The 15,598-nt window shown below is 47.4% G+C and overlaps 1 pseudogene, besides 1 other annotated feature; it reads left to right on the forward strand.

Moving 5' to 3' along the window:
- Positions 13,456–13,955: an enhancer, noted in NCBI's record as "H3K4me1 hESC enhancer chr15:32679479-32679978 (GRCh37/hg19 assembly coordinates)". NCBI's record gives its function as "activates a minimal SCP1, AML or CMV promoter by ChIP-STARR-seq in primed H9 embryonic stem cells {active_cell/tissue: H9 hESC(primed)}" and the evidence as "EXISTENCE:reporter gene assay evidence [ECO:0000049][PMID:30033119]".
- On the forward strand, positions 13,596–14,210 carry DNM1P31 (dynamin 1 pseudogene 31; annotated as a pseudogene).

The following is a 15,598-nucleotide window of genomic DNA, read 5'->3' on the forward strand; positions in this document are numbered from 1 at the left end:
ACAGGAGGGGTGTGAGGGAGCCACAGGCCTGCGGAGACTGGAGGAGGAGGCAAAGCTGGTGGGGAGGCGTTTCCTGCAGTTTCTGTGCAGTGCAGAGGGCCTGGATGATCCTGGGGACTGATGGGGCACGGGCTGCCCTCGTACTGTGGGGAGACTCTCACCAGGGGGCTCAGCAGTCAGGGGTAGCCATGGAGAAGGAGAAAGCTGTCAGTGGGATTTCTCCAGGGCTGGCGCTTTGCCAGGTGAATACCACAAAAATGCCAAGGGAGTGCAGGGAATTGTGAACAAGTTGTAGGCACCACAGACCATGGTGGGAAAAGAAGACTAGAGGGGCTGATGGTGGCCCGGGAAGGTCAGGGAGATTTCTCCAGGAAGAGCATTCTAGGCTGAGGGAGAGTAAGTGCCGAGGCTGTGGGCTGGGGGTCTGTTTGGTGGGTTTGTGGCTGGTAGCAAGAGGCCAGCATGGCAGGAACTGAGTGACTGAGAGCAGGGACAGGAGATGCCTGTGGGAGCCAGCCAGGGGCCAGGCCAGGCAGGGATCTTATTCTAAATGTGACAAGATGCCACAGGAGGGTTTTAAATAGATCAGTCTGGCTGCAGTGTGGAGATCAGGCTGAGTGGAGGGGAGTGGAAGCTTCCAGATTGGAGGCTACTGTGGTACTCCAGGTGGAGGGTGGAAAGCGGCCAGATTTGGAAGGCACTGTGGGTTGTTGATGAGTTTGCAGACACCTGGGATGTGGGGGGTGACCCCACATGGATGGGAAGGATGACCCCAAGGCTTCTGGTCTCAGCACCTGGTGCCATGTACTGGGTGCATAACTGAGAGGTGGGCCCTGAATCCACCCCATCCACTCTCTGGGCCCACTGCCCATGCCTGCCTTTGACCGAGAGCCTCCTTCTCAGGCATCTTTTATTCCCTTGCTGTCTGGGCAGCTATAGCCTCCTGGTTTTTTTGGAGTCTGGAAAAGCCTCGAATCTGCTGCTGCTGCTTCATGGACTCCCCACATTCCCTCTCTGCAGCTCTAAGTCATCTTCCTCTGGCAGGTTCCCCGGGAACACTGTCTGTCTTTCATAAGAGCTCGGGGATGACATTTGTTATTGGCTGTTTTCAACTCTTTCCCCCCTTTCCTCTGGAGTTATGCTCCATCCTAGTCTTTTTACTTATGACAGCCAAAGTGAAACTTTCAAAATATGCATTTGTACATGTTACCCCTGCCCCCACCCTAAAAGGCCTCCCACAGCTTCTCATTCCTCTTTGCGAAGGACAAAACTCCTTGACGCAGCCTATGATGCCCCTGATCCTGCCCTGCCCAGCCTGCCAGCCTCACCCTGAACCATGCTCCATCCACTCCAGCTGCCCTGGCCTTCCCTCAGGCTTTGGACTCACCACACTGCATCCCACCTCTGGGCCTTTGCATAGGCTGTGCTCTCTGCCTAGGCTGCCCTTTCATCTCCTCTTTACCTGGATAAATACCCACCCTTTGGGTCTCAGTTCAATCATCAATTTTTCAAGAAAGCACTTTTGCTTTCCCAGATTAGTTCAGGTATGCCCCTTTATAAATGCTCACCACCACCAGATGGCTCTCCTTTCTTGCACTTCTCATAATTACAATTTCATATGCACTTATGTGAAGTGCATGGTAAATTCCATGAGGGAAGCAGGATATGAGCTCAGTAAATACTTGAGTGAGTGAATGAATGAATGAATGAATGAATGTGTCTCTCACATCTGTTCTCTCTACTCCATTCCTTACCTTCCCACCCTAGTGCAGGTCTTTACCATTTCTGGTCTGTGGAACCAGCCTCCCTGCTCCACTCCCCATGGAGCTAACTTCACAAACCCCACTTATAACTGCTCAGCACCCTTCAGTGGTTCCTGCTAGATATAGAGGGAAGTCTAATCTCCTTTTCTTGGACTCCAACACTCCTGAAATGCAGTTCTCCCCCTTCATTCCTGGCCTGCAGGTTCCCTGAACCTCTGGAGCATTAAACATCTTCATTCCTGGCTGGTTTATTTCACTCCAAGCAGCTTTACTTTGCTACAGGACCATTTCTGGATGGTCAGTCTTGGAGAGAAAGCCCGCATCCACCATGAACCTTGGGTCCCTCTACAGTGCCAGGGCCACTTCCAGGTGCCTCAGATAAGGTTCAATGAACACTTCTCAGATTCACATCCAACCCACATTTATTGAATGCCCTCTATGTGCCAGACACAACCAAATTTATTTTTAAATTTTTCACAGCAGTTCTGAAAAGTAGGTATTATTTTCCACAATTGTATATTGAAGAAATCAAGTTTCACAAGGGGATTTGTTTGGAGTCAAATGACAAGTGGTTGGCATTCTTGGGACTACATTCAGCCTCTTCCCGCAGCCCGTGCTGCCTCCTGCCCACCCTGCAGTGGAGAGTGAGAGGGTGGGGTGCTGTAGGGACCGTGGACCGGCTGTGGGCAGCTGTCTGCAGAAAGGGGAGGAGGACTGCCAATCCAGGGGCAAGGGTAGAATGGAGGAGCTAGGCTCAACCTGATAAATGGCATCTACAAAAAGCCCACAGCTAACAGCTAACATTATGTTAAGTGAAGAAAGATTGAAAGATTTTCCCCCAAAGATCAGGAAAAAGACAAGAATTCCCAATGTCACCACTTCTGTTCAACAGTGGACTGGAAGTTCTAGTCACGGCAATTAGGGAAGAAAAAGAAAATGGAAAACTGTCTTCATTTGCATGATTCTATATCTAGAAAATCCTAAGGAATCCACCAACACACACACACGCACACACACACAAATTATTAGAACAAATGATTTCAGGCTGAACGCAGTGGCTCATACCTATAATCCCAGCACTTCGGGAGGTGGAGGCAGGCGGATCACCTGAGGTCAGGAGTTCAAGACCAGCCTGGCCAATATGGTGGAACCCCATCTCTACTAAAAATACAAAAATTAGCCCTGCATGGTGGCACATGCCTATAATCCCAGCTACTAGAGAGGCTGAGGCATGAGAATTGCTAGAGCCCAGGAGGCAGAGGTTGCAGTGAGCTGAGATTGCACCACTGTTCTCCAGCCTGGGCGATAGAGTGAGACTCTGTCTGAAAAAAAAAAAAAAAAAAAAAAAGAACCAATGAGTTCAGCAATGTGGCCGGGTACAAGACTGAGATACAAAAATCTATTATATTTCTATACACTAGCAATGAACAATCTGAAAGTGAAATTAAGAAAACAGTTCCACTTATAATGACATCAAAAAGAGTAAGATACCTAGGAACAAAAGAAGTGCAAGATTTGTAGTTGAAAACTACAAAACAATCTTGAAGGAAATTAAAGGTCTAAATAAGTGGGAAAATAGTGGAAAACTCAACATTGTTGATATGATCCCTGAGCTGATCTACAGATTCAACACAATGCCTATCAAAATTCCAGCTATTTTGTAGAAATTAACAAGCTGGTCCTAAAATTCATATGGAAATGCAAGGAACCCAGAATAGCCAAAACATCCTGATTAAAGAAGAAAAGGCCTGGTGCAGTGGTTCATGCCTGTAGTACCAGCATTTTGGGAGGCCAAGGCGGGTGGATTGCATGAGCCCAGGAGTTCAAGACCAGCCTGGGCAGCATGGTGAAACCCCTTCTCTACAAAAATACAAAAATTAGCCAGTTGTGGTGGCATGGGGCTGTAGTCCTAGCTACTCAGAAGGCTGAGGTTGGAGGATCAATTGAGCCCGGGAGGTCAAGGCTGCAGTGAGCCATGTTCACGCCATGTACTCCAGCCTGGGTGACAGAGTGAGACCTTGGCTCAAAAACAGACAAACAAAAAACAAAGTTGGAAGACCCATTCTGCCTGATTTCAAAACTTACTACAAAGCTACAGTAATCAAGACAGTATGGTCAATAGTAGGCAGGTGCTATTAAAAAAATAATAAAAAATAAAACCAGTGTGGTATTGCCATGAGGTTAGACATACAGATAGAATTGAGAGTCCAGAAATAAACCCTCATATTTGTGGTCAGTTGCTATTTTACAAGGGAATAAGACAATTGGATGGAGGACAGAATAGTCTTTTCAACAAATGTTATACACCAAATGGATATCCACATACAAACGAATGAATGTGAACGCCTTCCTTATGCCATACTCAAAGTGGATTGTAGAAACATAGTGAAACCTAATTTCTAGAAGAAAATTAAAAATTAGCCAGGTGTAATGGCACATAGCTGTAGTCTAGCTACTCGGGAGGCTGAGGCTGGAGGATCACTTGAGCTCAGGAGGCCATGGCTGCAGTGAGCCATGATTGTGCCACCGCACTTCAGCCTGGGTGACAGAGTGAGACCGTGTCTTAAAAAATAAGTGGATTGTAGACTTGAATGTGAGACTGAAAACTATACAACTCCCATAAGAAAACAAAGGAGTAAATCTTAGTGCCCTTAGGTTTAGTGATGGTTTCTTGGATATAGCACCAAAAATATGGCAACAAAAGAAATAGCTAAATTGGACATCATCAAAATTGAAAACTTTTTTGCTTCAAAGGACACCATTAAAAGCTGAAAATATGACCGGGCACAGTGGCTCATGCCTGTAATCCCAGCACTCTGGGAGGCCAAGGAGGCCAGATCAACTGAGGTCAGGAGTTTGGGACCAGGCTGGCCAACATGGTGAAACCCCGTCTCTACTAAAAATACAAAAATTAGCCAGGCATGTTGGTGAGCGCCTATAATAATCCCAGCTACTTGGGAGGCTGAGGCAGGAGAATCACTTGAACCTGGGAAGCAGAGGTTGCAGTGAACTGAGATTGTGCCATTGCACTCCAGCCTGGGCAACAAGAGTGAAACTCCATCTCAAAAACAAATAACAAAAAAACACCACACACACAAAATGAAAATATAACCCTAGAATGGGAGAAAATATTTGCAAATTATATGTTCAACAAGGAACTGGTATGCAGAATATATACAAATTCTTACAACTCAATAATAAAAAGACAAAATATTTTAAGATGACCAAAGGATTTGAATAGGTATTTCTCTATGGAAGACACACAAATGGCCCTTAAGCACATGAAAAGATATGCAACATCATTAGACATCAGGGAAATGCAAATCAAAACTACAATGAAATGCCACTTCACCTCCACCAGGATCACTGTAAACAAAAAGACATAATAGCAAATGTCCTTTTGGCTTAGGATTGACTTGGCAATGTGGGCTCTTTTTTGGTTCCATATGAACTTTAAAGTAGTTTTTTCCAATTCTGTGAAGAAAGTCATTGGTAGCTTGATGGGGATGGCATTGAATCTATAAATTACCTTGGGCAGTGTGGCCATTTTCATGATATTGATTTTTCCTACCCGTGAGCGTGGAATGTTCTTCCATTTGTTTGTATCCTCTTTTATTTCATTGAGCAGTGGTTTGCAGTTCTCCTTGAAGAGGTCCTTCATGTCCCATGTAAGTTGGATTCCTAGGTATTTTATTCTCTTTGAAGCAATTGTGAATGGGAGTTCACTCATGATTTGGTTCTCTGTCTGTCTGTTATTAGCGTATAAGAATGCTTGTGATTTTTGCACATTGATTTTGTATACTGAGACTTTGCTGAAGTTGCCTATCAGCTTAAGGAGATTTTGGGCTAAGACAATGGGGTTTTCTGGATATACAATCATGTCATCTGCAAACAGGGACAATTTGACTTCCTCTTTTCTGAATTGAATACCCTTTATTTCCTTCTCCTGCCTGATTGCCCTGGCCAGAACTTCCAACCCTATGTTGAATAGGAGTGGTGAGAGAGGGCATCCCTGTCTTGTGCCAGTTTTCAAAGGGAATGCTTCCAGTTTTTGCCCATTCAGTATGATATTGGCTGTGGGTTTGTCATAGATAGCAAAGCTGGAGGCATCATGCTACCTGACTTCAAACAATACTACAAGGCTACAGTAACCAAAACAGCATGGTACTGGTACCAAAACAGACATATAGACCACTGGAACAGAACAGAGCCCTCAGAAATAATGCCACATGTCTACAACCATCTGATCTTTGACAAACCTGACAAAAACAAGAAATGGGGAAACGATTCCCTATTTAATAAATGGTGCTGGGAAAACTGGCTAGCCATATGTAGAAAGCTGAAACTGGATCCCTTCCTTACACCTTATACAAAAATTAATTCAAGATGGATTAAAGACTTAAATGTTAGACCTAAAACCATAAAAACCCTAGAAGAAAGCCTAGGCAATACCATTCGGGACATAGGCATGGACAAGGGCTTCATATCTAAAACACCAAAAGCAATGGCAACAAAAGCCAAAATTGACAAATGGGATCTAATTAAACTAAAGAGCTTCTGCAGAGCAAAACAAACTACCATCAGATTGAACAGGCAACCTACAGGATGGGAGAAAATTTTTGCAACCTACTCATCTGACAAAGGGCTCATATACAGAATCTACAATGAACTCAAACAAATTTACAAGAGAAAAACAAACAACCCCATCAAAAAGTGGGCAAAGGATATGAACAGACACTTCTCAAAAGAAGACATTTATGCAGCCAAAAGACACATGAAAAAATGCCATCATCACTGGCCATCAGAGAAATGCAAATCAAAACCACAATGAGATACCATCTCACACCAGTTAGAATGTCAATCATTAAAAAGTCAGGAAACAACAGGTGCTGGAGAGGATGTGGAGAAATAGGAACACTTTTGTACTGTTGGTGGGACTGTAAACTAGTTCAACCATTGTGGAAGTCAGTGTGGCGATTCCTCAGGGATCTAGAACTAGAAATACCATTTGACCCAGCCATCCCATTACTGGGTATATACCCAAAGGATTATAAGTCATGCTGCTATAAAGAAACATGCACACGTATATTTATTGCAGCACTATTCACAATAGCAAAGACTTGGAACCAAGCCAAATGTCCAGCAATGATAAGACTGGATTAAGAAAATGTGGCACATATACACCATGGAATACTATGCAGCCATAAAAAATGATGAGTTCATATTCTTTGTAGGGACATGGATGAAGCTGGAAACCATCATTCTCAGCAAACTATTGCAAGGACAAAAAACCAAGCACCACATGTTCTCACTCATAGGTGGGAATTGAACAATGAGAACACATGGACACAGGAAGGAGAACATCACACACTGGGGCCTGTTGTGGGGTGGGGGGAGGGGGGAAGGATAGCATTAGGAGATATACTTACTGTTAAATGATGAGTTAATGGGTGCAGCACACCAACATGGCACATGTATACATATGTAACTAACCTGCACGTTGTGCACATGTACCCTAAAACTTAAAGTATAATTTAAAAAAAAAAGAAGTGTTGTCTGGGATGTGGAAAACTTGGAACCCTCATACATGGCTGGTGGGAACATAAATTGGTGCTGGCACCTTAAAATGTCAAACATAGTTATGACCCAGCAATTCCATACCTACGTATATACCCAAGAGAAATGAAAACGTATGTCCATGCAAAAACATACATGGATGTTCACAGCAGCATTATTCATAATATCCCACAAGTGGGATATTATTAGCCATATTTAGTTATAAAATAGCCCAAAGTGGAAATAACCCAAATGTTTATAAATTGATGAACGGATAAATATAAAATGTGTTCTAGGCAAGGTGCGGTGGCTCATGCCTGTAATGCCAAAATTTCGGAGGCTGAAGTGGGAGGATTGCTTGAGGCCAGGAGCTTGAGACCAGCCTGGGCAATATAGGGAGACCCCATATCTACAAAAAATTAAAAAATTAGCCTGGTGTGATGGCATGCACCTGTAGTCCCAGCTACTCAGGAAGCTGCGGTGGGATGATCACTTGAGCCCTGGAGGTGGAGGCTATAGTAAGCCATGGTTGCACCACTGCACTCCAGCTGTGCGACAGAGTGAGACCCTGTCTCAAAAAAAAAAAAAAAGTGTTCTACCTACACCATGGAATATTATGTGGCAATAAAAAGGGAATGAGATACTGATACATGCTACAACATGGATGAACCTTGAAAACATCATACTAAATGAAAGAAGCCAGTCACAAAGACCACATATTTTATAATTCCATTGATAGGAAATGTTTAGGATAGACAAATCTATAGAGTCAGAAAGTAGATTAGTGGTTGCTGGAGCTGGGAAGAGGATGGGAACGAAGAGTGACTGCTAATGGGACTGGGTTTCTTTTTGAGGTGGCAAAAATGTTCTACTTAGGTTATGCAAATTGTTCCACAATTCTGTGAATACAATAAAATGCACTGAACTGTATACTTTAATGGGTGACTTATATATGAATTACATCTCAATAAAGCTGTTTTTTGAAAAAAAGGTCACAGAGCCCTTAACAGTTTTGTAGAAGTGAGGGGAGATGGACATGGCGGAAGGCCCTGGACATATATTTATCCCCTTGTGTGGCTACTTGCAGTTCCCGCCAAACTGCACCCATCTCTTTGTCCCCAGAGGTGAAGTCCAGTGGACCTTGGTTTTTCACTTCAAGACCAGTTTTGGGGTCAAGGCTATTTCAACATGGCAGGTAGTAAGAGTTTAATAAATGCTTGGTGAATGAACCTACATTGCATCAATGTACAGGTCACCAAAAGTACTTAAGGCTGGAGCAGTCTCCAGGGCTGGGGAGGGGATCTCAGCAGGTTTTGAAAGGAAGGGACAGAACCTAAGAGCTTCTAAAATGTTCCTTCAGAAGAACCCTGAGTCCAGAGGAGAGTTAACACATCCCTAACATGCAGTAAGAAAAGTCTCACATTTTTTCTTTAAATTCTTGTGCTGTATGCATCCTACTCTATATTTCCAGCTTGTTTTAATTTAAAAATACTGTAAATTGCCATTCAGTAAAACGGATGCTTCAGGGAGTTGTGCTGTTTATTCCTGCATCCTGGAATACCTGTGGGTGTATGCTGCTATGTTGCCTCAGAGGACCTCAATCAACAAATACCCTGAGTGCCCACTGTGTGCTTGGCAGGAGGGGTGCTGTTGCCAACACAGGATCTTCCCTCATAGGACTTTCAGTTGAGAAATGAGTGCATAGCCCCGAGGAGCAAAAAGAGCTCAGTGGAGAGGACAGAATCATGGGGGGGCAGAGTTTGGAAGCTCGTAAGAACATTGCCTTAAATGAAGACCAATATATATGCTCAGTGTTTTACTAGCAAAAAGTTGAAAACTGCCTAAATGTCTAATAGTGGAATGGCTAAACAAATTATGGTGTTACCATGTAGTACGATATTCTGTAGCTATTTAATAATACAAAACAATAAAGGAAAAGGCTTATGATGAAATTTTATGTAAAAAATCTTCAAAAAAACTATGCATAGCATGGCCTCAACATGTAAAACATACTCAGAAAAAATACCAGCATAGAATGCCCCAAATGCTAGTTGACTTTGGAGGGTAGAATTATGGGGGGATTTCTCTCTCTCCCCAAATTTTCTACAGTAAGTCTGTGTTATGTTATTAATAAACATCACATCTTTGATGCAGGAAGGCTAATGTGCAGCTGCATGTGGGGGCAGGGCTAGAGATGAACTTGGAGTAGGGGCTACAGAGTGGACCCAGGAGGAAGGGCTAGAGATGGAGATGTGGGTGCCGTCTTCCTACAGGAGAGGTCAAAACAAACCCTGAGTGGGCACTGAGGGAGCCCATGAAGAAACTACAGAGGGCTGAGGAGTCTCGGAGGGCAGGAGGAGGAATTGGAGTCAGGGATGTGGAGAGTTCAAGTGTCATGGAGCTGGGCAGAGATTCTAGGCAGAGTAATATCTAGAAATCCTTGGAAGTCAAGGAGAGAGGTTGAAAGAGGAGCCCTCAGTGTAAAACCTTGTCTCCTTCCTAGAGTGGTGAGGTTAGATTTAAATGAGATATAGGAGAGTGATTAGCTATACAAGCTCTGGAGTTGGGCAGACCAGTTCAAACCTCAGTTTCAGAACTTACAGCTAAGTGACCTTGGAAAAACTTTCTAACCTCTCTGAACCTGTTTCCCCATCTGTTAAATGGAAACAATAAAAACCATTAGGTTATTTTTTGGATTAGATGAATAATGCATGGAAAGTGCTTTGCATAGTGCTTGGCACATATATGTACTACTATTTTTTTTAAGAGATAGAACCTTACTTAGTCACCCATAGTTCATGTAACCTCAAACTCCTGGACTCAAGTGATCCTCTGTCACTTCAGCCTCCACCATGCCTAATTAAAAAAAAAAAAATTTCTAAAGATAGGGTCTTGCTATGCTACCCAGGCTGACTGTGTACTAATTGGATGATGTCTATTATTATTGGTTTACTACAGTTGTTAATATTATGCAAAATATCTTTGATCGATAAAGAGCTTCTCCTGGTCCTTTGGGCATGGCTTTCTGAGGGGAAGACGACCTCTGGGATGCTCACCCTGCCCTCTTCCCCTCTCATCCCCATCTGTCCCCTCTGCCACCATGAGGAACATTTTCAAGAGGAACCAAGAGCCTATTGTGGCTCCTGCCACCACCACGTCACGATGCCCATTGGACCCGTGGACAACTCCACCGAGAGTGGGAGTGCTGGGGAGAGCCAGGAGGACATGTTTGCCAAACTGAAGGAGAAGTTCTTCAATGAGATTAACAAGATTCCCTGTGAGTGTCCCTGGTGGCTGAGAGGGTGGGGCAAGGCTACAGTCTGGGAGAGGTGAAGAAGGGTGGGGATACCACTGGGATGCGATTGGCTGGGCTCTTTCCTAACGCTTAGATTTTTGGAGAGCCCCTGCAGGAATCGGGGAGGGGAAAGTAAGGTCTGCCATTAATGTGGCAAACAAGGGGATTTATGTGCATCAATTTCTAAGGGAAAGAAAAATTCTCATAACTTAAAAAACTTTCTAAAGATGAAACCAAAAGGCGATGAAAAATTATGAAACAGAAGTCACTATTCAAGTTTGCCAATAATACTTTGAAATTTATTTTGGAAGATAGAAAATAAAAGCCCTCTCTGCTTTTGAATTTCTGGCAGAGGCTGTATAGGAGACACCAGAGATGCAGATTAAGGGGGACCAGCCACACTGGTGGGAGATGGTGCTTCAGAACCACAGAGAGCAGCCCAGGACCCAACTCCAGTTGGGTTTTGCAAAGCCCGGCAGCAGTCTAGGTCTAGACTCAATCTTAAGTCCACTCCATGGACCCACAGCTGAAGCGGCAAATGGAAACCACCCAGAACCTTGTGGACTCCTACAAGGCCATTGTCAACAAGACTGTGTGGGACCTCATAGTTGGTTTCATGCCCAAGACCGTCATGCACGTCATGATCAACAACGTGCATGCACCACCTCATAGGGGCAGGGGGCTCCTGTGGCACTGGGGATGCAGGTGGCCATGTTGGCCTGGGGGAGATGCCGACCAGCCCTATGGGACCAGGTTCAGGGAGGGAGGCACAGTCCAGACCAGAGCTGTCTCATAGAACTATAATGTGGGACTAGGGACAGTGGTCCATGCCTGTAATCCCAGAACTTTGGGAGGCCAAGGTAGGAGGATAGCTTGAGCCCAGGAGTTCGAGACCAGCTTGGGCAACATAGTGAGACCTGGTCTCTACACAAAAATTTTAAAAATAGCTAGGCTTAGTGATGGCACATGCCTATAGTCTTAGCTATTCGACAGGCTGACATTGGAGGATCACTTTGAGCCCAAGAGGTTCAGGCTACAGTGAGTGGTGATCTTGCTCACTGTACTCCAGCCCAGCAACAGAGCGAGATCCTATCTCCAAAAAACATTTTTAAGAAACTGAGTAGACAGGTGTCCTGGTGGCATGATAGGTCCTGGGTCCCCTCCCAGATGTGTGACCTTGGACAGGTGACTTTTCCTCTGGACCTCAGTGTCCCTATCTGAGTGAGAAAAGGGCGGTGGGGTGGCAGATCTTTGAGTCTAAGCGGTGTAGAAGCCGCGTGTGCAAAGCCATACTCAGGGCTCCAAGTCCAGCACACTGTCCCAGCACAGGCATCAGGCCAGCACATGCATCAGGTCCCAACCTCCTTCCCTCTTTGCCCCCTCTCAGACCAAGGAGCTCATATTATCAGAGTTGCTGTCCAACCTGTACTTGCATGGGAACCAGAACACGCTGATGGAGGAGTTGGCAGAGCAGGCACAGTGGCGAGATGAGATGCTGCGCATGTACCACGTGCTGAAGGAGGTGCTCAGCATCATCGGTGACATCAACACAACCACCATCAGCACGCACATGGGGGCCCGTGGACAACTCCTGGCTGCAGGTGCAGAGCGTCCTTGCCAGACGCAGGTACCAGGGCTGGCCCCTATGGCCCCAAGTCTCCCCAGCCCCCATGGCTGAGCCTGGGGGCTCTTGGAACAGGCTCCGTGCCCAAGCTGGCAGATGTGGGTGGTCTCTGGAGCCATCAGGGAGCTCGTGGTTTATGGTGTAAGGGCTGAGAGCTTGGAGGGGGTTGTGTGTGGGGCTGTACTCTGAGGTGGCCAGAGGCCCAGGAATGTCATCCTGGGCACGCCATGCCTTTTGTGCTGTCTGAGCCATGCTGCCAGGGTGGGGCATCCAGCTCCCAGCCTGGATGCCTTGGAGTGCTGAGGGCCAAATCCACTGCAGAGCAGGGGTGATAGGGTCCCACCTCCTCTATCTGTTGGCAAAACAGTGGTGATCTAGGATAAAACCTCGAGAGTCCCATACACATGGTCAACCCAAAACACACCTCACAGGTCAGGTAGGGGCACACAGCCCCCTTCCCTCCCTCCCAGGTACCATCACAGCTGCTAGCATGTGACTGAAGGCAGGGTCCCTGGGCCCCGCTGAAGCACTACCACCAGCCAGCAGGCTCACGCACCTTGGCTTGTTGCTCCTAGAGATTGGCCCTCCTATTCAGCCGAGGGGAGCCCAGTGCCTGCTGGCCCAGCTGAGCTCTGCCCAGCAAGCCCACCCACCTCCCTTGCCATGGTCTCCGTCTCCTTTCCCTGGGAGGAAGGACCCAGCCTCACCTATGGGACCTGCAATCTCCAACAAGCTGAGGCTCCCCTCTTAGACTTATAAGTTTATAGCCAGTGGCATCCGGCTGCCTGCCCACCCTGCCTCCCCCAGGGTCCCTTCAGAGGGTCCTCAGCTTCCTGACCACCCAGAGGGGGCTCCGGCGATCACTCCAACCATCCATCCCATTTAGCTTCATCATCCTTGTTCGAGCAATTTTCCTTCTGTCAGGCCTGGTGGCTGTTATGTTGGGCTCCCCAAGGTGAGAGGTGGCCCTAGACCAGTTGGTTGGAAGACAGGTTGGAAGACGACTTGGAAGACAAGTTGGTTGGTGACCAGAGAAGAGGGAAGCCCAAAGGGGCCGAGCGTTGGTCTGACCTGTGGGTACACTGCCTGGGTGCAATGGAAGAGGCCAGCATGTGTGGGGTGGGGAGGGCCGCCACAGTCCCCAGGCACTACCTGTGAAGCTCCGGCTCCTCCCTCCATCTTCCTCCCCTTTCCCTTCCAGCCCCTCTTTTCCAGGAACCTTGCCACAGCCGCACCTGCGCCCTCCCCTCCCTGGCCCTCCCACAGCTGCTGTGGCACACCTGTGCTCTGCACTGGCCTCACCAGCTCTCTGCTCCCTTTTCTCTCTCCTCTTTTCTCTCTGCTTTCTCTCCAACTGCCAGCCGATCAGGTCACGCAAGTCCATCCCATCCTGAGAGCCCCACGCCCCCCTTCGACCTCTAAACAGATCCCTTCTCTTCTCGGAGGCCTCCCTTTCCAAGCCTGCCTGGGCGGCTGTTCTGTGACTTGGCAGTGGCTCCCCCAGCCCCAAAGCCAGCCCCCTTCATCTGTGACTTAGTCTGTTGTAGTGGTGAGCTGACACGTCCAGGTGTGACTGTTGTGAAACTTGTGCCCCCCTCTGTGGTATGCCCTCGCATTGTTCTATAAATATCTATAAATACCCATACACACACACACACACACACACACACACCCCTACACCTACATGTGGCCAACGGCCTCGCCTCTAGTGCTGGGAATCAGTCACCGTGCTGTCCTCTTGGAGTCTTGTGGCCCAACAAGAGAAAGCTGTCCCGACATTGCCCCTCCAAAGTGCAAGACCTCCGGTGAGTCTCCCTGTCACGCCTGGCCTATGGAGAGTCAGCCCCCGCCATCCCTCCCGCCCCCCCACCAAGCATGGGAGTGCTGTGCAGGCAGCTGAGTGGCCTGACAGTCTCTACCAGTCCTGCTGTCCCTTGGCTGAGAATCAAACCCATTTCTGGATGACGGGGAAGTGTGTCCTCTGCTGGCTGTGTTCTCTGTGGAGCTCAGGGGAGGGGAAAGGCCAAGCCATTTCTAGGGTGCTGTTTGGAGGGGTGAAAAGGCCATACCCTTTCCAAGGGACACTTTTCCTGGAAAGCCCCTGGAACTTAGCTGGCTCTTGTCCTGTGAAGCCGGCTCTGGCCACCAGGGGGCAGGGCCACGAACTCAGCCTGAAGGGAGCCTGCCGGGCAGCCGGCACTCTGGAGGGACAGAGAGAACAGGCCACCAGGTGCAGACAGGGGAGGGAGGCAAGGTGACGGAAGGGAAGACGCCTGGGGTGGGTGGAAGTCAGTGCCCTTAGGTGCTGGTACCTGTCTTCCTGGCCACCGCTACAACAGGCTTCTGAGCCTGTTGGCTGTCAGGGCTGGACTGCGCCCCATAGGCACCATGGCAGTCCCCGTGGAATCCCCCAGGCGCCACTAGGCAGCATACAGGTAACACGCCTGGAAGGTCCCTAACAGCCTAGCTGGACACACTCAAGACACTCTGGGGCTCCTCGTTTGGTGGCACAAACTCCAGGACCCAGTGAGGGAAACGGGAACACACCAGGCCGAGCAGTATGGCTAAATCCATTTATTCCAAAATAAAAAGCAAAATAAACAGGAGTCGCATCACCAGGGAGCCACGACCCCATCCCCGCCTCCTTCCTCTGTCCTATGCTAGCAATAAATAAGTTTCCCAGCCACAAATAATTATTACAACCTCCTCCCCATGTGCCGGCCTCAACCTCAGCTAGGTATGACACAGGGGTGGCCCTACCCTCTGGAATATACAAAACCTTACACAGACACAATGTGTACACCGGGGAACGGGGGCCACCCCAGCAGCCCGTGCCCTCGCCTGGTCCACAGTTAGCCGCACTGTCCTGCCTCTCTGAATAAGAAGGGAGCCCCCTGAGGGAAAAGTTGCTATGGTGAGAGTAAGGGGGACATCAGGCCTCCTCCAAACAAACCAACTCCACCAGCCTCTGGCTCTTAAATAACAATCATCATCATCCAGAAATTTAGGGACTCAGCCCTGGTCAGGGTGGCAAAGGGTCTGTTTGTCTTTCCCCATTAGACAGAGGTCTTGTCCTGCTACCCTCATTGTAAAGGGGTGCCTGGGAAGGGGTGGTAGGGACATGGTGGCGGTGGAGACTCCGGCCCCACTTCTCCAGGCTTTGCTGACAGGGGCCTGCTTTTAATTTTTATTTTTATTCCATGACTTTTTAAAAAAGAATCCCGTAACTTCTTTTTCATAACTTTTTTGGTAACTTTTCATAATACTGTTTTCTACTTTGTTCCCACAAGTTTTTTTGCCACAACGTTTTTACATTTTTTATCCCATAACTTTTTCACCCCATAACTTTTTTAATCCCAT

This window comes from Homo sapiens, chromosome 15, assembly GCF_000001405.40.
Source record: "Homo sapiens chromosome 15, GRCh38.p14 Primary Assembly".
Lineage (NCBI taxonomy): Eukaryota > Metazoa > Chordata > Mammalia > Primates > Hominidae > Homo > Homo sapiens.